The sequence below is a fragment of the Homo sapiens genome, chromosome X, assembly GCF_000001405.40.
Source record: "Homo sapiens chromosome X, GRCh38.p14 Primary Assembly".
Lineage (NCBI taxonomy): Eukaryota > Metazoa > Chordata > Mammalia > Primates > Hominidae > Homo > Homo sapiens.
In genome coordinates this window covers 13,979,849-14,003,408 of record NC_000023.11, presented here as the reverse complement: position 1 = coordinate 14,003,408, position 23,560 = coordinate 13,979,849, and the positions used below count along the sequence as shown (strand labels likewise).

The window sequence follows — 23,560 nt, the reverse complement described above, 5'->3', positions numbered from 1 at the left end:
GCAGATGAGGAGACTGAAGCACAGAGAAATTAACCAACATCACCACATTCACTTCAAGTGATGGATGTGAGCTTCAAACACAGATATTCTGACTCCTAACTTCCCTGCCGTTAGCTGCTCCAGCATGCTGAAATCTGGTTCTAACAACCACATTCACAGGAAGTGGAAGGTACATGTCTTCAAAGCACAGGAGCTGAGCTGAATCTGGAGCTGAGCATGAGGTTACGGTCTAGTCCCTGCTGGGCTTGAGAACGTGTGACTCTGGATAATGCATTTGCATTCTTTAACTGAATTTTATAACTGAGGCTAAGGCAGTGAGAAGAGGGGACACATTCCAGAGACACCGAAGAAATAGACATCCCATGGCTTGGTGACTTGGGCCAGGTGATGAACCAGCCTAGGATGGCTCAGGTGTGTGTCTTGGATGGAAGTTGTAGTCACTGAGGTAAAGCGAACAATGAGAAACAGGTTTGAGAGGGACAATCAATTCCATTTGGGACACAGTGAATTTGAGGAGTTCAAAAAACATCCAGTGACATCCTACCACTCACTGGCTATTTGGGTTTGGAACTCAATAGAGAGGACCTGCATTAAAAATACAGATGTTGGCCGGGCGTGGTGGCTCATGCCTGTAATCCCAGCGCTTTGGGAGGTCGAGGTGAGTGGATCACCTGAGGTCAGGAGTTCGAGACCAGCCTGGCCAACATGGTAAAACTGTCTGTACTAATAATACAAAAATTAGCTGGGCATGGTGGTGCACACCTGTAATCCCAGCTACTCCCGAAGCTGAGGCAGGAGAATGGCTTGTACCAGAGAGGCGGAGTTTGCAGTGAGCGGAGGTTGCAGTGAGCCGAGATTGCACCATTGCACTCCAGCCTGGGCGACAAGAGCGAAACTCCATCTCAAATAAATAAATAACTAAATAAAATAAAAATATAGATGTTTCAGCCCTCGGCCTTAGGAATGTGGAAAAAGGGACAGTATGTAAACTAAGAGGAATTGACCTGTGACAGTGGGGCCCTGAAGAACTCTATTTATCTATCTATCTATCTATCTATCTATCTATCTATCTATCTATCACCTATCTATCTATCTCTACCCATCTTATCTGTATATCTATCATCTATATTTGCAACCGAAATCTAATCAAGACTCTATGTCTAATTACCAGTCACAGGAAGTTCAGGGAGAAGACCAGTATATTAAAAGACACTGAAGATGTCATCAGCCAAATCCAGAATGTGAGAAATTTCATAGGATGGAAGACCCAGTTTCTTTAACAAACTTTTTTTTTTTTTTTTTTTTTTTTTTGCTGGAGTGCAGTGGTGTGATCTTGGCTCACTCACTGCAACCTTCGCCTCCTGGGTTCAAAGGTTTCTCCCACCTCAACCTCCAGAGTAGCTGGGATTAGAGGTGCCTACCACCACGCCCGGCTTTTTTGTATGTTTAGTACAGACGGGGTTTCACCATGTTGGCCAGGCTGGTCTCTAACTCCTGACCTCAGGTGATCCGCCCACCTCGGCCTCCCAAAGTGCTGGGATTACAGGCGTGAGCCACCAAGCCAGGCCACAAATGGACTTTTAAGAAGCACATGTTGGGGCCGGGCATGGTGGCTCACACCTGTAATCCCAACACTCTGGGAGGCCGAGGCGAGCAGATCACAAGGTCAAGAGATGGAGACTATCCTGGCCAACGTGGTGAAACCACAAAAAATACAAAAATTAGCGGGGTGTGGTGGTGCACACCTGTAGTCCCAGCTACTTGGGAGGCTGAGGTGAGAGGATCACTTGAACCCAGGAGGTGGAGGTTGCAGTGAGCCCAGATTGCGCCACTGCACTCTAGCCTGGCGACAGAGTGAGACTCTGTCTCAGGGGAAAAAAAGCGCATGTTGGAGAAAGAGTGATGGCGAGGGCGAGGAGGTGTTATGGGATATGGTGTGGAACTTGTATGTGTCCTAACTTGGACAAATTGATTATTAAAACACTTTTAGATCATTGAAGAAATTTGAGTATGGACCGAGTGTTAGACGATATTAAAGACTTATTAACTTTGTTAGGTATAATAATTGTTTTATGGTTATGGGTTTTTTGTTTCTTTGTTCGTTTAGTTTTTATCTGTTAAAGACACTGAACTATTTCAAGTTGAGCTGATATGATACCTGGGGTTTTCTTTAAAGTGCTCCAGTGACAGGGCATGGGAGAGGCAACAGTTGAAATCAGATCAGCAAAATGTTGAGAATTACTGAAGCCGAGTGATGGACACGTGGAGATGCAGTATGCTATTCTCTCTAGTTTTGTTTTTGTTTGAAAATTTCGTAGTAAATTTTTCAAATGAAATAGAATTTGAAGGAAAGAGCTTTACAGTACTAAATGTTACGGAGAGGTCTGATAAGCTGAAGACAGAAAAGTAGACAATCTAGAAACCATTGTCATCTGAAGGACCTTAAAGCAATTTCAGTGGATAGATGGGGAAGAAAACCAAGTTTTACATCAAAGCTAATATACTCAAAACAAAATAAAAGGACGGCGGCATGTCAAAGGGGCACAGAAGCCACTCCCAGAAGAGCTCCCAGTGGCCAAACTGGACAGCCTGAGCAACAAAATAAATAATATGGTGTTAGATTGTAACCCAAAGTATAACATAAAAATACTTGAGTCTATACTGATAAATGATTGACTAATAAATAAATATATGGAGAGAAGAGACAAATCTTCCTTACAGAATAATTCCAAATAATAGCTATAGATACTAGCCCCTCCAAGATGTGGGACTCACCCCTCCATCTCCATCTTTTTTAAATTTTTTTTTTTTCAAGATGGAGTCTTGCTCTGTCACCCAGGCTGGAGTGCAGTGGCACGATCTGGGCTCACTGCAAGGTCCGCCTCCCGGGTTCACGCCATTCTCCTGCCTCAGCCTCCCAAGAAGCTGGGAGTACAGGCGCCCGCCACCACGCCTGGCTAATTTTTTTGTGTTTTTAGTAGAGACGGGGTTTCACTGTGTTAGCCAGGATGGTCTCGATCTCCTAACCTTGTGATCCACTCGCCTCAGCCTCCCAAAGTGCTGGGATTACAAGCGTGAGCCACTGCGCCCGGCCTAAATTTCTTTTTTAGAGACAGGGTCTTGCTCTGTTGCCCAGGCTGGAGTACAGTGGTGTGATCTTGGCTCACTGGAGTCTCAACCTCCTGGGCTCAACCAATTCTCCCACCTCAACACTTCCAAGTAGCTGGGACTGTAGGCATGAGCCACCATGCCCAGCTAATTTTTTTTTAAGAGATGGGGCCTCACTATATTGCCCAGGTGGATCTCAAACTCCTGGGCTCAAGCAATCCTCCTGCCTCAGCCTCTCAAAGTGCTGGGATTACACGTGTGAGCCACCATGCCTCACTCTCTCTCCCCCATTTGAGTGTGGGCTAGACTAGTGACTCACTTCCAAACAACAAAGTACAGAAAGGGGAAAATAACAGCTTTTGGAAGAACCTGGCAGATACCATATTATCCATGTGATCAAGGTCAACATCACCAGTCGTAAGTTCTGCTGATGTTGTGGACAACCTGATATGATATGATGAGAAGGGAGCTTTACCTCTGTGGGATTCTCAAAACCCATAACCCCAATTTAAACATGAGAAAAATATCAGATAAGCCCAAATTGAGGGGCATTTGACAAAATACCTGACCAGTATGAGTCAAAATCCTCAAGGTCACAAAAGGCAAAGAAAGACTGAGAAACTGTCACAGAGGAGACTAAGGGGACATGACAACTAAATGCAATGTGGGATCTTGGAGCAGAAAAAGGATATTAGTGGAAAATCTGGTAAAATCTAGATACAGCCGGCCGGGCGCAGTGGCTCACGCCTGTAATCCCAGCACTTTGGGAGGCTGAGGCGGGCGGATTACCTGAGGTCAAGAGTTCAAGATCAGCCTGGGCAACACGGTGAAACCCCATCTCTACTAAAAATACAAAATTAGCCGGGCGTGGTGACACATGCCTGTAATCCCAGCTACTCAGGAGGCTGAGGCAGGAGAATCACTTGAATCTGGGAGGCAGAGGATGCAGTTAGCCGAGATCACACCATTGCACTCCAGCCTGGGCAACAAAAGTAAATCTCTGTCTCACCAAAAAAAAAAAAAAAAAAATCTACATACAGCCCGTAGCTTTATTTAACAGGAATATGCCAATGTAAATTTCTTGGTTTTGACACATGTACCATAGTTATGTATAATGTTAACAATGAGGGTAACTGAGTAAGGGTGTATAGGAACTCTGCACTGTCTGTATAACTTTTCTATTTGAAAATAATTCCAAAATAAGAAGGCTTTAAAAAAAAACAAAAATTTAATATCGATTTTTGCAAGTTGTGTTTATATCAGTTATACTTGTTCCACTTTTCAAAGGGAGGAGATATATTTTTATCTGTCTAAAAAAAGACTTTACAAAGCCTTTTTTCTTCTTTTGAGTGCTATAGAATCTGACAGTGACACCAGAATGACAAGTCAGAAGGGAAAGTGAAGGATTCAGCCTTTACAAGGTATGTAATATGTGTTATAGTGCTAGACAACTTACACACATTACCTGCCTTGTATTCTCCTAACCACCTTATAAAGCATAAGCCCCAATTTTCTGATGAACAAGTTGGTTCAAAGTAAGTATAAGAAGCCAAGTGCAGTGGCTCATGCCTGTAATCCTAACACTTTGGGAGGTCGAGGCAAGTGGATCTCTTGCGCCCAGGAGTTTGAGACCAGCCTGGGCAACATAGTGAGGTCCCCTGTATTAGTCTGTTTTCACACTGCTATAAGGACATACCTGAGACTGGGTAACTTATTTTTTTAAAAAAAATATGTTTAATTGACTCACAGTTTCGCATGGCTGGGGAGGCCTCGGGAAATTTACAATCATGGCGGAAGGCAAAGGGGAAGCAAGCATGTCTTTACCATGGTGGAGCAGGAGAGAGAGAGCACGAAGGGTGAAGTGATACTTTTAAACCATCAGATCTCGTGAGAACTCAATTCACTATCACAAGACCAGCAAGGAGGAAACTGCCCCCATGAGCCAGTCACCTCCCACCAGGTCCCTCCCTTGACGTGGGGATTGCAATTTGAGATGAAATTCGGGTGGGGACACAAAGCCAAACCATATCACCCCCTCTCTATAAAAAAAATTTAAAAATTAGCCAGGTGTGGTTGCATGTACTTATAGTCCTAGCTATGTGGGGGACTGAGGTGGGAGAATCACCCGAGCTTGAGAAGTCAAGCTGCAGAGAGCCGTGATTGCCCCACTGCACTCCAGTCAGAATGACAGTGCAAGACTCTATCTCAAAAAAAAAAAAAAAAGCAAAAATGGTAAGAATAAGTAACATACCTAGGGTCACATTAGCTGAAGTGTGGATTTTCCTTCATAGAGGTTAAATTTTCTCCTAATTTTAAAAATACGTCGTGACTATTAATTTATTCTTGCCTCCGGGATTTTTAAGATACATCACTTCTATGATTTTTTTTTTTTTTTTTTTTTTGAGACAGAGTCTTGTTCTGTCGCCCAGGCTGGAGTGCAGTGGCATGATCTCGGCTCACTGCAACCCCTGCCTCCTAGGTTCAAGCAATTCTCATGCCTCAAGCCTCCCGAGTAGCTTGGATTGCATGCATGCATCACCACACCTGGCTAATAATTTTTGTATTTTTAGTAGAGACGGCGTTTTGCCATGTTGGCCAGGCTGGTCTCGAACTCCCGACCTCAGGTGATCCGCCCGCCTCAGCCTCCCAAAGTGCTGGGATTACAGGCATGAGCCGCTGCACCCGGCCTCTATGATTCTTTTGATCAGAAAAATTGCCCCTTGTGTAAGTTAGCTTTTGTTACATAACAACTCGTCCCCAAACTTAGTGACTTAACCATTTTTTATGTGGGTTGGCAACTTAGGCTGGGCTCAGCTAGGTGGGTCTTCTGCCAGTCTCCCCTGGGCTCACTCTTATAGATGCAGTCAGCTGATGGGTCAGCCAGGGGCTGGTTAGTCTAGGATGGCCTCAATCACATATCTGGGGTTTGGAGCTGGCTGTCTTATGGTTATCTGCTAAAGTAATAGGAGCAACTGGGCCACATGTCTCCAGCAAGCTAGCCTGAGTTTGTTCCCATGGTAGTTATAACAAGGGTCCCAAAAGCAACAAAAGAGGACAAGCCAGCCGGGCACGGTGGCTCATGTCTGTAATCCCAGCACTTTGGGAGGCCAAGGTGGGCAGATCACGAGTTCAGGAGATTGAGACCATCCTGGCCAACACAGTGAAACCCCATCTCTACTAAAAATGCAAAAATTAGCTGGGCGTGGTGACGCACACCTGTAGTCCTAGCTACTCCAGAGGCTGAGGCAGAAGAATCGCTTGAACCCGGGAGGTGGAGGTTGCAGTGAGCTGAGCCGAGATATCGCCACTACACTCCAGCCTGGCAACAGAGAGAGACTCTGTCTCAAAAAAAAAAAAAAAAAAAAAAGACAAGCCACAGCATGCAAGCGTTTTATAAGCCTCTGCTTTCTTCATATTTTCTGATGTCCCATTGCCCAAAGCAGATCACATGGCCAAGCCCAGATTCGAGGGGTGAAAAAATAGGCTCCACCTCTTGATGGGAAGAGCTTTGAGTCACATTGCAAGAGGATGTGCATACAGGGATGGGAGAAATTATTGCAGCCTTTTTTGCAAGTAATCTACTGCACCCCTTTTGTGTTCCTTTTCACATGATAGCTTATAGAATTTTACTGCTTAGAGTATAGGATTAAGATTCTATTTCTTTGCCAAGCTCCTATGTAACTATGGATATTGATATGGTTTGGCTGTACCCTCACCCAACTCTCATCTTGAATTCCCATGTGTTGCGGGAGGGACCCAGTGAGAGGTCATTTAATCATGGGGTCAGGTCTCTCCCATGCTGTTCTCATGATAGTGAATAAGTCTCACAAATCTGCTGCCATGTGAGACAGGCCTTTCACCTTCTGCCATGATTGCAAGGCCTCTCCAGCCACGTGGAACTGTAGGTCCATTAAATCTCTTTCTTTTGTAAATTGCTCAGTCTTGGGTATGTCTCTATCAGCATTATGAAAACGAACTAATACAGATATACAATTAGCCCTTGTCTTATGACTTTGAGAATCACAGAGTTGGAAGGAGATTTAATGGCTAGTCAATTCAATATTATACTTAATAGAGGACCATCTTGTGGACACAGAAGCACAAGATCGCATCCATGTGGTAGGCCTTCAAATCCTTAAAAATAGTAGGTTCTATGATTTCTCTTTTCCATTTTAAATATTCCAAATGTCGTAATGTCCCCATTTTATATAATGGACATACAAGACAAGCATTGCAGATTTACCAGATATGCTGATCTTCAGACTGCTCTTCCTCATTGCCAGCTAGATTTGACTGAGCTTCACATTAGCTTCAAACAGAGTGGGAAGTTAGAAAATGACAGGGTAGGCATGGATGTTGACCTACGTGGGTCCTTGAGATGGTGTGATAGGCCCCCCAGTGTGTCCAGCGTTCCACAATGTGGAACCTGTGAATACATTCCTTTGCATCGCAAAAGATTTTGCAAATGTGACCAAGTTAAGGAGCTTGCCATGGAGAGAGCATCCTGTATCCTCCAAGTGGGCCCAATGTCATCACAAGGGTCCTTATAAGAGGGAGGGAGGTGGGTCAGAGTCAAAGAAGGAATGTGAGAAGCAGAGGTTGGAGTAATGAAAGGAAGGGGCTATATATCAAGGAATGCTGGCAGTCTCTAGAAACCAGAAAAATCAAGAAAACGGATTCTCCCCTAGAACTTCCAGAAGACATGCAGCCCTGCCAACACCTTGATTTTAGCCCAGTAAGACCCCTTTCAGATTTCTGCCCTCCAGAACTATAAAAGGACATATCTGTGTGCTTTAAGTCACTGAGTTTATGGTAATTTGTCACAGCAGTAACAGGAAACCAATAGAGATGGGAAATGTGTGATTGGTTAGTGATGAGTGTAATAATACGAGCTTGCTGTGCACTGAACACTTTACATATGCTACCTTATTTCATCCCAGCACAACACTGGGAGTCAATTTCTCATTTCCCAGATACAGAAATGAACTTAGATTAAGTAACTTGTCCAAAGCCAGCAAGCTAGAAAGCGTCATTGAGGGGTGAAGATTGAACCCAGGTTTCAAGTCTTTCTGAGCCCTTGCCTCTGTGCTATACTTTACCATCCTGATAGGGAGTTGAGCCCCTGGCTTGGGAGATTGGGGGTAATGTCGCCATTGAGTGAGCTAACAAATTCAAGAAGAGAAAAGGAGAAGAGGAGGTTTTCCTATAATTGCAGGTGACAGAACCAGCATGGTCCAGTGGGCACTTAAGTGCACTGTCGCCTTCCCTACTTTTGATGTTTTGGGACTCTGACTGATCCACCACTGGCTTCCTTGTTCCTCAGCTTGCAGACAGCCTGTTGTGGGACTTCACCTTGTGATTGTGTGAGTCAATTCTTCGTAATAAACTCCCTTTCATATAGACACCTATCCTATTAGTCCTGTCCCTCTAGAGAACCCTGACTAATACATGCAGAAATCGTGTGGTTTGTAGTATTTCTTAATTTTTATTTTCTGGTCAAAGAACAGTTGTTCTATAGAATGGTATTCATATATGCTGACCACAAATACTCCATGGGACAGTTTGAGGAACAGTTTTTCATGGAATGAGGCCTCATTTTAACAAGAGTACAATGTAAGGGTCACATTTGGCCACAAGTGCCATAGCAGCCACCCATGAGGTTTCAATAAAATGTGAATTCTCTCCAATGCTACTGGAACTGTTCTTTCACCACAAACATATTTTAAGCATCCATCCACCATTTTCTGGGTCACTGCAAAGATATAAAAGAGATCAGAAATGGATATTACACCAAACATTATGTAGTAAAAAATTTTTAAAGTAACAAAACTGAGTAACAAATGTGACAAAGGTAGTAGAGACTTTGGTTAGTGAGGACAGTGCAGCTCAGATGCAGCAGGAACTGAGGGGAGGAGAAGCTCGGGGGCCAATGTGTGTGGGAGTTGAGTCTGGGCTCAGCTTCCCGGAATGAATAGAGTTGGCAACATGGAGATGGCACAAACAAGCACTCCAGGAAGAGAGAACAGTGCAAGGCAGAAAATACGGCTGTGTGTTGGAAACAGAATGGAGATCCGTCTGCCAGCTTGCGAGGTTCTCAGACCTGGCTGCATGTTAGAGTCACTTGGATCCCACCCTAGACCAATTAAAGCAGAATCGCTGGTCATCGGGGCCCAGCCATTGCTGGTTTTGGTTTTGTTTTTTAAAGCTTCCCTGGTGATTCCTGTACAGCCAGAGTTGCACCCACTAGGCTAAGTTGGCTGTTCTCAACTATGGTGTGGGGACCTACTGATGTTTAATTTGAGGTATGACAGGTACTACTTCTCAAACTTTAGTATGTGTTAGAATATCCTGGGGAGCTCATTAAAACACAGATTCCTGGGCCCTGCTGTCAGAGATTCTCATTCAGTAGGTCTGGGGTGGGGTCCAAGAACATGTATTTCTGTCAAGCTCCCAGGTGATGCTCTGGTCTATAGACTGCACATTGAGTAGCACAGATGTAAATAATTTGATATAATGATAAAAGAACAGTGAAGGAAAGTTTACAAATGGTTTGCTTTCTTAAACTATATACATCCAGGCCAGGCATGGTGGCTCACACCTGTAATCCTAGTAGTTTGAGAGGCTTGAAGTGGGAGGATTGCTAGAGGCCAGGAGTTCCAGACCAGCCTGGGCAACATGATGAGACCTCATCTCTATAAAAAAAATTTTTTTTGTTTAATTAGCCAGGCATGGTGGTGCATGCCTGTAGTCCCAGCTGCTCAAGAGGCTGATGTGGAAGGATCACTTGAGCCCAGGAGGTCATACCACTTCACTCCAACAGAATGAGATCCTGTCTCTTTAAAAAAAAAAAAAAAAAAAAGTATACACAACAAAAGCAGATTAAAGCATTTGACTGGGAGACAATGTGGTGGCCTTAAGGTGACTGTGCCAGTGTTTGCAAATATCTCACAGCTCAACACCCCCTATATCCTGTGCATCATGATGGGGAGACAGTCATGAAGCCCTGGGCTAGAACAATTAGTTCATGAAGCAGAGTGATGACATAGAAGCATGGAGAAGAGCCAGTTCATGAAGGGTCCTCCCTGCTAAACCATGGATGCTGTGAGCAACCACAAGGTCTTTACAAAGGTTAGGAATGAACAAAGCCATTTCTCAAGACAAATATGTTTATAGTATCTGTTCAAAGGCGATGACAGTAATGCGAATTGATGGGGCCTAACCTGGAGAAGTGGCAGTGGAACTGGAGAGAGAAGATAGATGTAAGAGATGGTGCAGAAATGGCAACTCCACCCTTCAAGGTGCTCAAGCAACTCCTTTTTCATGCCTCCAACCAACCTATCAGAAAGCCTGCTGGATCTCCCCACTTCTCCCATCCCACCACCTCCTCCTAGTCCAAAGCATCACCATCTCTCACCTGGATTAGTTCCATAGCTTCCTAACTGCCTTTGCCCTCCTACAATCTATTCTAAAACATAAGCCAGATCGTCACTTTTCTGCTCCTGTGTCACTTGCAATATGAGCTCAAGCCCTTACAGTGGCCTACAAGCATGGCACGATCTGGACCCCTATTATCTTTCTGTCATCGGTTCCTTCTACTCACCCATTTCTCTCATTCTGCTCCAGCCCCATTGACTTCCTAACTTTTTCTAGGACCTTGCTTCTCAAAATGTGGCCCCTAGACCAGTAACATCAGCATCAATTGGGAGCTCAATAGAAATGCAGAGTCTCAGGTCCCTCTCCGGCCCCACTGAATGAGAGTCTGCATTTCATCAAGACCCTCAGGGGATTCCTCTACCCCTCTATGTGAGGAGCACTGATCCAGAACAGCCCAGAACACTCCCACCCCTGGATTTTGACATTTCTCTACCTATACAGCTTGCCTGCTGGGTATCCATGTAAATCACTCCCTGCATCCTTTTCTTAAATGTCACTTTCTCAATATTCTACTTAAAACTGCAATGCCTCCACAGCAGGGCACTCCTTAACCCCTCTGATGCCTTTATTTCTCCCACAGCATTTGTCACCACCTGAAAATGGTGGCCTCTGAGAGTCAGAATAAGGTGTGGAGAGGTGAGGCACAGGACTACTACTTTTTTAAGTCTTAAGTTTGTGAAGGATTATTTGACATTTACGTTGTATACATGTATATCTTTCACTTGTTTATTGGTAGAGATTAAAAACTGCCAGAGAATAAAGTCTGAGTTCCCATCAGGCTTCATGAATGAGGATGTTGAGTTCAGCCTCAGCTTCATGGCCAGTAGACGAGTACTGTGGGCAAGAAATAAATCTTTGCTGTTTCAAGCCACTGACATTTTGGAGTCATTTTCACAGCCAACTTCAAGCTTCTCTTCATTGCCGCAGGAAGAGACAATTGAAATGGAAGAACATGGTTTTTGAAAGAGTCAATAGGGATTAGGCTCAGTAAACAGTCACAACAGAGCCACCTCCTTTCCTTGGAGGTTATAACTCAAATTTATAGGATGTCACCTCTTGCTGAAAGGCTGCAAGTAGTCCACAGATGTGGTTTATCTGGTTAGGATAGTATTTGCTTAAATGTTTAAACGGGAGATGGGAAAAGTGTGTGTGTGCGTGTATGTCATTTATTCTCCTCTTAGCTATAGTCCCCACTACTCCCTATTACTTAGGACAGCCTCAATTGACTCATTTACTTGCCTGAATAGCCCTGAAGACATTTGGATTTGTAACACTGGCCTGTCCACGCATCAAACCCATTGAGAGGAGGTAGAACAGGCATTAGCATACTCACCTAATAGACAAGAAGACAGAGGCCCTGAAAGTCCACGAGGCTTCAAAAATGACACAAGTCAATGGCAGAGCTGGGGCCCCAACTCAGGACTTCTGATGCCTCTGTTCAGGACAAGCTAAGGATGTCCCCCCTCAGAGACAGCTGCCATCTGCTGCTGCAGTCATCCTAGGAGGTTAATGCATTGATTGTATGCTCTATTGTCTAATCAGCCCACACACTGCTTGAGTTTATCACCAAGCAAATTCTCATTTGTTTTTAACAGGAAAATCACTCCATCCCAAAATGCCTTAAACCAAACTCTGCAATCTCAACAAACAGCTTGCCTTTTAAATCCATAAGCTAAACACAAGGCTCTTTGCATTCTTTCAGCCAAGCCATTGCAGCTCTTTTCTCTTTCAGTCTGAACTTGTTTGTAATAAGTACAGCCAAGAAAAGGAGTTAAAGAAATGACTCCAACAGAGAATCTCCAAGGTATATTTTTAAGTGCAAAAAGCAAAGTGCAGGCCAGGCGCAGTGGCTCACACCTGTAATCTCAGCACTTTGGTGGGCCAAGGTGGAAGGATTACTTGAGCCCAGGAGTTTGAGACCAGCCTGGGCAACATAGTGAGACCACGTCTCTACAAAAGATAATAAATTAGCTAGCCATGGTGGCACATGCCTGTAGACCTAGCTACTTAGGAAGCTGAGGCAGGAGGATGGCTTAAGGCCAGGAGGTTGAGGCTACAGTGAGCCATGATGACGCCACTGCACTCCAGCTCTGGACTCCAGAGACCCTGTCTCAACAAAAACAAAAAAGCAAAGTGCAGAAGAGTATACATGGAATTAGCCCATTTGGATAAATGGAAAAAATACATCTCTTTACATATATGCATTTATACTTATGTATGCAAAAGTGTCTCCAAGGATGCACATGATACATTATGGCCATGCCTGGAGAGCAGCCTGGGGGTCAGGAGTGAAGGAGGCAGGCACTGTGGGTGACCCATGCACTCAAGCCCTGCCAACTCCAACCATTCTCTTCTGTGACTCTGCCTGAAGGTAAAAGTGCTGAGAAGCCACACACCCTGGGGCAGCCATCAATCAGTGATTGGCAGGAATTCGTAGAGAAATATACCAACTCCTTCACCTCTTGGGTGGGATGATTCTGAGGTACATGCTGTACATCTGTTCCCAGAGTTCCCCAGCATGACTCAGCTGCAGTTGCCCCCAGAGCAGATGCGCTCAACAACACAGCCTTTTCTGGCTGCCTTTGTTTTCTGTCTCCCTTTCCCACACCCTTACTCTTCCAAATGAATTTCAAGTCCTATCTCAGGACTGGTTTCTGGAGGAATAATGCTGTCCAATAGAAATTTCTTCAATGATGGAAATGTTCAATGTCTGCACTGTCCAATACAGTAACAACTAGCCACATGTGGCATTTAAATTTAACTTAATTAAAATGAATAAAATTTAAAATGCAATTCCCTGGTCACATAGCCACATTTCAGGTGCCCAACAGCCACATGGACAGCACATAATAGTCCATTTTCATGATCGCACATGGCTCTATTGGACAGTACTGGTTTGCAGTGCATTGGAGCAAATGAGTGTAGACTTGTACCACATGTGTCAAGAAGCAAGAAGATGTTTTCAAAGGGGAAAAGGATATAATATACTTCTATGAGTGTCTCTGAAATCTGTGTGTGGGATCTATGTGTGAAGCCTGACTCTCACTCAAGTACTCCTCTAAATCTATTACCTAAACCTTAACCCTTTCTGTTCTCAGCTAAGGCGCAGGCTGTTTCAAACCCCTATGGCATCTTTGTGCAAATAAGACCAAGGCGCCTCTCTTCCCAGAGGAAGCAATCCCATGTCAGTGCACACTGGATCTGAGCAGTGCCACCAAACAGGGCCCACCTAACAACGCTGTACAAATCTGGCCTAAGGGCCAGGATTTGAAATTTAGAAGGCAGGAAGAGTTTCTTCATTGCTCTGTGTTCTGCATCTCAATACTTCTTTTAGCAATGAGTGCAGACAGAATGACAGGGCTTGAGTTTGTGAGTTGGCAGGAAGGCCAAAGGATAAAGGAAATACCAAGAACAACAATTTTTTTAAAAACACTAATAATACTACAAGTCAAAAACATGGTCTTTGCTGGGCACAGTGGCTCACGCCTGTAATGTCAACACTTTGGAAGACTGAGGCAGGAGGATAGCTTGAGGCCAGGAATTTTAGACCAACCTGGGCAACATGGCAAGACTTCATCTCTACCAAAAAAAAAAAAATTTAAATTTAAAAATTAGCCAGGGTTGGTGGCATGCACCTGTAGTCCCAGCTACTCAGGAGGCTGAGGCGGGAGCATCCATTTAACCCAGAAGTTTGAGGCTGCAGTGAGCCCTGATTGTGCCATTGCATTCCAGCCTGGGCAACAGAGAAAGACCCTCTCTCAAAAAATTAATTAAAAAGAGAAGAGTTTTGCTCCTCATAGGTAAGCTTTAACTCTCAACCTGCTCTTACTCAAACTATAACAATTTGCATTAATTCAAGTTCTATAACCCAGTTCTACCATTTTTCCAAAGTATAACAATTTGCATTAATTCAAGTTCTATAACCCAGTTCTACCATTTTTCTGTTGGGCACCGTAGCACTCACTGCAGAAAATCCCTTCCATCTTGAACATTTTCCAACTTTGACCCTTTCTTTCCATTCCCTTTCCGTGAAACAGGCGTGACTTCTTAATCCTGTATTGACATGGAATGATACTCTAGTCATCTTGGCTTGATCTAGTGTGCCTCATTGTCCTGATCAGAAAAATCAGAAACTTTGGGGGACCTGAAACATCATCTCTCTGGACTTGTTGCAAAGGTTAGTGTTCAATCTGTTGACTTATTTAATAGCTCCCTTTCCTGCTCCTAGGAGAGGTTCTTTATCTTTTTAGTTTGTGACAAGTTTGACCACTTGCTAAGTGTCAGGTGTTGGGGATACAAGGGCAAGCTTCTGCCCTCAAGGAGCTGCAGTCTACCTGGTGGTACAGATGAGTGTGATGAGAAAATATTCTGCCCTGTAACCCTGCCCCTGCTCAGTTGTTTATTAACTGAGAGAAGGGATGAGATCTGGAAACGGTGAAAATACGATTCACCTCTGGGCTTTTGAGTTCCGAAAGCCTCATGCTCAGGAGAGACAGATAGAACTCATATGTGGAAATACCATCAATATTGAAGAATATAAAACAATACTTTGCCACCTTCTTCCAGCCACTCCTCCCCACCAGATGACTCCCTGTGGGAGGGAGGTTGTCAGAGGGGCAGTTGTACGTGCGCAAGTATGCTTTTGGTCCTAGAATTGCTACGCCCGCATCCCACCCCCAGAAGATTCTAGGGTAAGGAGAGGACAGAAAGAATCTGTGGCAGACACTATTGGCTGTCCTTAACCCTAATAGTATTCAGACAGTGGGTGACAATGTACTGAGCCCCAGGGAATGAATCATGATTGCTCTAAACCAGCCATTGTAATCCAGTGACCCAGTCCTGCCCAATGACTTGTGAAGGGAAAGGGTATTGTAAAGATTTTTCCTTCTTGAAAGAAAGTGAAATACCATTTCTTGCTGCTTTGGATGGTCAGGAGAGAACACGGTGCTTGGCATCACAGCAAGTATGTTATAACTAAGGGGGAAGCCAAGAGATTGGCTGAGAAAGCTTAATAGAGCTGACTACCTGAATTAGCCTGTCTACTTCCAACCTTCTTGCTATATAAAATGATTCAATCCATACTTTTAAGCCATTTGACTTGCAAGCAAAAGCCTTCTACAACATGGGCCTATGGTCTCTGGAAGAGGGGTCTCACATAGCCATGCATGAGTGTGCCAGGGTGTTCCCCATACATTAGAGGTTGGCAGAAGAGGACAGTGTCTTAGGGAGCTCCACAGAAGTTCCTGTGACCCAGCGCAGTGAGAACACATCTGTTTATTCCCATGTCCCCCAGTGGAAACTGGAGAGCTGAGAGAAAGCCTGGCCAGATAGGCCCTTGACAATGGGATGAGGAACAGAAGTCATGGGGAAGGGTGACAAAGAGCCAAGCAAGAAGAGGACACCTCAGGTGATGCAGAAGTGAACAGAGGACCCAAAGCCCAGATCCCTACCTCCACCACCCCCAACTCCAAACTTAGACCCAATGCCACAGAAAAGGGAAGAGTCATGATTCTAGTAAATTTACATTTCCTCACTCTGCTGAATGATGGGTTGAAATAGAAATTAACATCAAATGCAGAAAAATAAGGTTTTATTTCTGCACCTTAGAGCTTGAAGGCCAAGATTTGAACCCACTACCCAAGTCAACAGGCCATTACACCATCATGGGAAAAGGGACTTGAGAGCACTCAAGTGGGGTGCCTGTCAAAGACTGAGGAAGGGGCTCCCTGGAGTGAGTGCAGTAGAATGCCTAGAACACAAGTAGATTAGGAGTAAGGACACAGGGTAGCCAATGACAACCACATATTCCCATCCTGATTTCAAAAAGAAATAACATTTTAACATTAAAAAGTCCATAAGACATAAAGGCAAGATAAAGGCAGAATGAAGGACAGTTCCTTAAATAAAACTATTAAAAAATCTGTACTTTGCACAAATTTGTTTACATTTCAATAGAGCCTAGTGAATACTTTCTTGTTGGTTGGCAACAGTCCTTAGAACCAGCATTTGGGAACAACATATGGAAGGTACATCCCAGTGAACAATTTCTGGCCCATTGTGGTCATCCCCCAATATCTAAGTCCCTTCTTCCATAGTAGTAGAAACCTTGGTTTTCAGCCAGGGACATGTAAAGACTACATTTCTCAGCCCCTGTTGCTGCTAGGTGTGGCCATGTGGCTATGTTCTGACCAATGAGGTGTGAGCAAAAGAGCCCTGTGGCTGCTGCCAGGCACCTCCTTTAAAAGACAGCTGGTGCATGCCCATTCCACAGTTTTCTTCTTCATCCTTTCTCCTCCTGCTGCCCAGAATTCTGACATAGTGGCTGACCTTCATTCTCCACCATAGATGGAAGGTAACACCCTGGAGATGGTAGAGCATTGAGACGAGAAGAGTGTGGGTCATTGAAGACTTCATGAAACACAGCAGCCACACACCAGCTCTGGACTGCCCCACCCTGACTTTGACATTAGAGAAGTAAACTTCATTTTCTTGAGCTACTGTGATTTGAAATCTTTGTTACCTACAGCTGGGGCTAATCCTTTCTGATACACATGGCCACCAGCCATACTATGAGAAAGCCCCAGGTCAAGAGTGAGGATCTGGGCTATTCAAGATGTAAGACAGGCATGGCAAATCTCACCCATCATTGACTCCCAGCTCACATCCTCTGTCCACCTGAACCACATTTATAACATGCTTAGTCCAACTTTTCCATTTCCTTAGTCAATTTTCTTTCTACTTTCTGTTAGGGCCATTTCATAAGATGTTTCAAGTTTGTTGTTGTTGTTGTTTGTTTGTTTGTTTTTTAGCACAGTAGAAATAGCAGTAGTTACTAAATAGAAACAACACAAATAGCAGAGAATCTCATATGTATGAATGTCATTATGCATGAAGTAAAAAAGAAACTTGATAAGAATCAAGTTTCGAAAAAGAAACCATAAAAGGCATTACTGTTCACTCATATATGGCTTCCTTCCACTTTCTCTGGGGGTAAATGGCACTCCCTGTGCAAGTCTCTTTTTATGGTAGACATGCATATCTGTTATTTCTGTTTTAGGATATAGTGTGTCTCTCTAGGTCACAAAAGGCCATTGTTGATCAAGTTATGAAGAGAAGAGTATTAATACCTCATGAGCATTTTTCAGTACACAGCACTTTTCTGTCATCTTTCCAGAAAAAGAGTTGTGTGTACTAATTGGAAAAGTAGGTTTCCAATACAACATTCAATACTCTGTACTCAGTCTTGTTTCGTATAAGGAAACTATAGTGAGCAAATATAGCCACAATACATCCATCCCACAAATTGGGCACTGGTTGAGTTTTTCACAGTAATTTGTTAGGTTATATTAAGAACGTAAGGAAGTCAGTACATAAAAATAATAATCATCTGTGGAGTTTAAGAGCCTAACAAATTGCAGCCCTCTTTTCTGCCCAAGTTCAGGACCAATTGAGAAGTCCAACCAGTGGAGAAGGAAATAATCAACTTTGTTACTAATAAGATGATTAAGGAGCATGGCTTTAAATCCAGCTCCAAATGGACTTCCTAATGCAGTCCCATTGACTTGAACTTAACTATGGGCTCCCCTGTTTCTGGGGGCAGTGCTTACCCCATAAGCTTCTTTCATAGTGGAGAGCAAACCAGAATGGACCCTTTAAGTGGGCAGGCAAATTTGGAAGAGAAATAACCCAAAAAATCCTGAGCCAAGCATGTTCATTTCCTTCTACCAAATTCACTAATTAGAGGTGTCACACCTTTTTCTCTGGTGAGAGGTTGTTACAGAGGTGAGGCAATGGAGAGAAGTTAGACTTGTCCTCAGGTCCTTTTCCTCCTGTAGCAGACCCTGTCCCTGCCCCACCACTATCCACCAGCTTTAATTTTGCCAATTAAAGCTGCCTGTCACCATCTTTTTGCCCGAAGGCCTTCTTCAAAGCCGTGGAAGCAGCATTCCTCAACCAATGACTGACCCAAGTTGGTAAATAAATACCCCAACTCCCTTGCCCTAGTGGCTATAGAACTCTGAGGTGCATGTTCTATACTGTTTCCCAGAGCTTTCTGGCAAAACTAAGCCCCAGACACACACAATGATAGCCAGCTCAATAATGCACCCTTCCTTGGCTTCCTTCCTTTACCTGTCTCATCTTCCCACTTGCCTAGTGTGTCCTGGAATCACCACTCAAGTATTTACTGAGAGTAAATCCTTGCTCTCAAGTACTTACTGAGAGTAAATCCTTGCTCTCAAGTACTTATCTCAAGGTCTTCTTTTAGATCAGGGATCAGCAGATTTTTTCTAGAAAGAGCCAGATATTAATGTTTTAGGCATTGCAACTGCACAACTCTAGCATTGCAATGTGAAAGCAGTCATAGACAATATGTAAAGAAATGGGCATGGACTGTGTTCCAACAAAACTGTATTTACAAAATCAGGTGGTAGGCTGGATTTGGTATCTGAGCCAGGCCATAGTGTGCTGACCCTTATTCTAGAGGAATTTGAGATAAATCATTCCCTGAATTTGTATTTTTATAGCTGTGTAACAAATTATCACAAACTTGGCAGCTTAAAACAACACAAATTTATTATCTCACAGTTTCCATGGGTCAGGAGTCCAAGCACTATATAACTGGGTTCTATGTTCAGGGTCTCACAAGGTTGAAATAAAGCTTCCAGCTGAGCCACGTTCTCATCTAAGGCTCAGAGTCGTCTTGTAACTTCACACAGTTCTTGGCAGAATTTAGCTCCTTGCAGTTGTAGGACTCAGATCCCAGTCTTCTTGCTAGCTGTCAGCCAGGGACCATTTTCAGCTCCTAAAGGCCACCATTCCCTGACACACAGCTCTCTCTGCAACATTACAATTTGCTTTTTTTTTTCTTTTGAAAAAGATTTATAGACAAAAAAGGGAAGTGAGGCACAGAAATCGGAAGTGAGGTACAGAAACAACTGGTTTGGTTACAAGTTGTTGTTTGCCTTATTTGAACACAGTTTGAACACTCAGCAGTGTATGAATGGTTGAAGTACGGCTGCTGGGATTGGCCGAGACTCAGCTATTGTTACAGGCACATACTCCTAAGTTAGGTTTTCAGTCTTGTCTACATATTAAGTTAGGTTGCAGTTTGTCCACAAGGACTCAAATATAGAATTATGGAGTCCTTCTCAGGCCACATTTAGTTTGCTTTAACAATTCCCTCTTTTTGGTCATTTTCTCAATTTTGAAAGATTGACCAAAACTTTATTTTATTTTTATTTTTATTTATTTATTTATTTATTTATTTTTGAGACAGAGTCTGGCTCTTGTTGCCCAGGCTGTAGTGCAATGGTGCGATCTTGGCTCACTGCAACCTCAGCCTCCCGGGCTCAAGCGATTCTCCTGTCTCAGCCTCCCGAGTAGCTGGGATTACAGGCATGAGCCACCACGCCCGGCTAATTTTTGTATTTTTAGTAGAGACGGGGTTTCACCATGTTGGCCAGGCTGGTCTCGAACTCCTGACCTCGTGATCCACCCGCCTCGGCCTCCCAAAGTGCTGGGATTACAGGCGTGAGCCACCGCACCCAGCCTGACCAAAACTTTAGTCACTGATGTCACTGTTACCATCGTAACTGTACTTATTTGGTCTTGAAACCCACTGGGAAACAGTAGAACAGTGAGTTTTGCAAAGGTAGGAACAAGGACTGAGTAGAAGTCACCCCCTCATGCTAGAACATACTGTTTAGAGGAGAAAAACAAAACCTGGTCTGTTCCAGGATCTATGTGTTTCCTTAAAGTATTAGTTTGGTTATGTCACATTTAGCATGAGCAGCTCCATTTTGATTGGGTTTTGTGCGTTGGGGTATAGTGCATGAGCTCAGTCCAAAACAGTGGCCTCCCATAATGCTGTTTTTTAAAAAATTCCCCCTTTTTGGTCAGGTTCTAGCTTAGGTGAGAATGTGACAAAACTTACGGCCTTAGTGCCACTCTCAGTTACCATCATTTTGGGTTTCTGGTCTCAGCATGACATTCATGGGTTACGATGACCTCATGATCATACATTTCTTTCAGCCATTGTCATTCCAGTTGAAGAGAGGCCATTTGGCATTCTAGAGGTGGCTGTATGTAAACATTTAAAAACTTGGAGAGAATTTGGCACACCAGGGAGACTATTATTATTACTATCAGGAGGATAGAGTTTGGAGTATGCTCCCAAAGAATGAGCTAGGTAAAGAGTCTATTCACTTTACTAAGCAATCTCATTAATCCCCTGCAACTGAATCTCTATAATACCTGATGTTTTCTCCATAGGGCATAAGTGCCAGCAGCTGCACAGATACTTCTCTGTTTAGCCAATTCTATTATTTAGCATAACTTTCACAAAAGAATTTAAAGTCTGTTGTGTAACCATAGCCTTTACAGTAGAATCTCCTATAGAGCCTATCACGAGGGATACATTTCTAATCATTGCCTCTTTTATTCCAAACCATGGAAAAAGGACCTAACAAATGATGCCCTTCTAGAAGAGTGAAGGCTTCCTGGCATTTTTTTTAAACCCATGATGTGGGTTAAGAGGAGTGAATCAGTGTTCTGTATTTCACTGATTATGAGGCAACGTATGTACCATTAAAGTTTCTCACCTACACTGGGCTTTCATCTTTTATCTATCAAAGTATAAGTTTATCAATGTATAAGGCTGGCCACAAAATCCTTCACAAATAAAAGTATACCCCATAAGTGCACATAAGAGACCCCCTTTTCATTTCTGTTGTTCATAGAGGCATAAACAAGGAAAAATATTCAAAGATAACAGTCTCATGATAGTAGAGAAGTCTTGCTCCATGAACTTGGGAAAAGCTGTTCACATCAAGAATGTCATCTTCTTCTGGGGGGAAGCTTCCCTGGTTAGGTTTACCTTAAGGTTCCAATGGGTGTACAGTTCCAAGAGTGTGGAGGGACCGTTCTCAGTTTCTTTAAAACCAGCAAGAGAATTATTTTAAAGAATTCGCTTGATTAGTTCAGGCCCTCCCAGGATTATCTCTCTTTTGACGGACTCAAAGTCAACTGATTAGGAACTGTAATTACATCTTTAAAATATTTTCACCTTTGAGTTATAATGTAACCTAGTCACAGAGCTAGTCTGCAGTGAGGTAAGAGTTAAACCCAGAATCCTGACTCCATAGCTCATGCCATTAACCACCTTTTCATACTGCCTTGCCTCTGAGATTTTACATACAATTCCCCACATACCCAACACAAGCCATCTAAATCAGACACTATTATGCTGCATAGCTTTCTTAATATTTAAAATTTGGCCAAGCAATCCTTCAGCCTTTTTAAAAAAGTCAAGCAATATTTGCACAAATTGGGCTTTGGGCAAACCTTTCCTAAAGCTAGAATTAATCAACTATGCCAGATATAAATGAAAACTCAAGACTCAAGTTGGAAGAAATGATATAATCAACATTGCCTTCATTATTGTTTGCTTTCTCAGACGAAACAATACTGTGAAAGTCAATTTTAAAAAGGGAAGAGGAAGGAACCAAGTATTAATAGAGCATTGCATTCATTATTTCATTTGAGTCTGACATCACCCCTGGAAAGCCTATTATTGTTGCAGATGAAACTAAGCTTAAAGAGTAGAAAAACGCTTCAAATTGTCGCATAATGTCTAATCTCCCCTTCTTCATGAGTAACAGAAGGCTGGATTTATTCAGGGTAACAATGTCACCAGCTAAAAGACTACATTTCCCAGCCTCCCTTGTGGCTAGGTGAGATTATGTGACAAGTATTTGGCTAATAAGAGCTAAGTAAAAGTGTGTGGGCCCTCTGGGAGGTTGCTTAAAGAAAGCGAAATCAATCAAGACTTGACTTTTTTGTCCTTTCTTCCTTATACCTTCCTGCTATTTGGAACTCTGGCATTATGGCTAGAGCTCCAGCTGTCACCTTGAATCCTGAGGCAACCTTGAGATGGGAGCAATCTGCTAAGACATGGAGCAGGAAGGTACGAGGAGTTTATATCCCTGATGATCATGGAGCTAGAGCCATCATACCAACCCTGGGGTTCCCAGCTTTGGAATGATTGTTTTGCAAGACAGGAAAAAAAACATTTACCACTTTTAAAACCCTGTTATTTAGAGTTTGTCTTACACAGAGCTTAATAACTGATGGAGATGACCTAAATAACCTTCCCTAGGTCACCCCTTAGTAAGAAGATGCATAATGCAAACCTTACTCTCTCAGACTACTGTATGCTTGGGGCTAATCATCTATATGTTTTGTTTGGAAAGTGGGGATGTTACGTTGGTTGGGAGATGAAGATAACCTTATCTGACCTCATGGACTTCAGTCAAGTTACTATTTCTTTTATGTATGTATGTATGTATTTATTTATTTATTGAGACGGAGTTTCGCTCTTGTCGCCTAGGCTGGAGTGCAATGACGTGATCTCGGCTCACTGCAACCTCCACCTCCTGGGTTCAAGCAATTCTTCTGTCTCAGCCTCCTGAGTAGCTGGCATTACAGGCGCCTGCCACCATGCCTGGCTAATTTTTGTATTTTTAGTAGAGACGGGGTTTCACCATGTTGGCCAGGCTGGTCTCGAACTCCTAACCTCAGGTGATCCGCCCGCCTCAGCCTCCCAAAGTGCTGGGATTACAGGCGTGAGCCACCATGCCCGGCATTAAGTCTCTATTTCTTAGATTCTCTTTTGAATCCAGCTTCCAGCCTCTGCAAAGTTCCTTTTATTATTGCTGACAAAGATAATATGAGTCCATACAATTTATAACTACCTTCCACAGTTGGACCTTAGTCCTCTACAATTAGAACCATGTTTAGAGTATAATTTAACCTGTTTTTACGTTGTTATAATAAATCTAACACATGCACATTGAAAAAATGAGAACCAGGTCAGGTGTGGTGGCTCACGCCTGTAATCACAGCATTTTGGGAGGCCAAGGTGGGCAGATGACTTGAGCCCAGGAGTTTGAGACCAGCCTGGGCAACATGGCAAAACCCTGTCTCTGCCAAAAAAAAAACAACAACAAAAAAGAAATCA

The 23,560-nt window shown here is 43.4% G+C and overlaps 1 protein-coding gene across 6 annotated transcripts in view; it reads left to right on the top strand.

Annotated features, from left to right (window-relative positions):
* Positions 1-19,224, top strand: part of GEMIN8 (gem nuclear organelle associated protein 8) — a 45,708-nt gene extending 26,484 nt beyond the window's left edge. For 3 of the 6 annotated variants that reach the window (XR_001755703.2, XR_001755702.2, XR_950467.4), the window contains one exon: positions 5-2,065. The gene's annotated coding sequence lies outside the window, so the exon portion shown is untranslated. Of the gene's footprint in view, positions 1-4; positions 2,066-4,458; positions 4,530-14,579; positions 14,720-16,887 lie in introns of those variants that run through there. The other 3 variants (XR_950464.4, XR_007068192.1, XR_950466.4) reach the window with 3 other exon arrangements.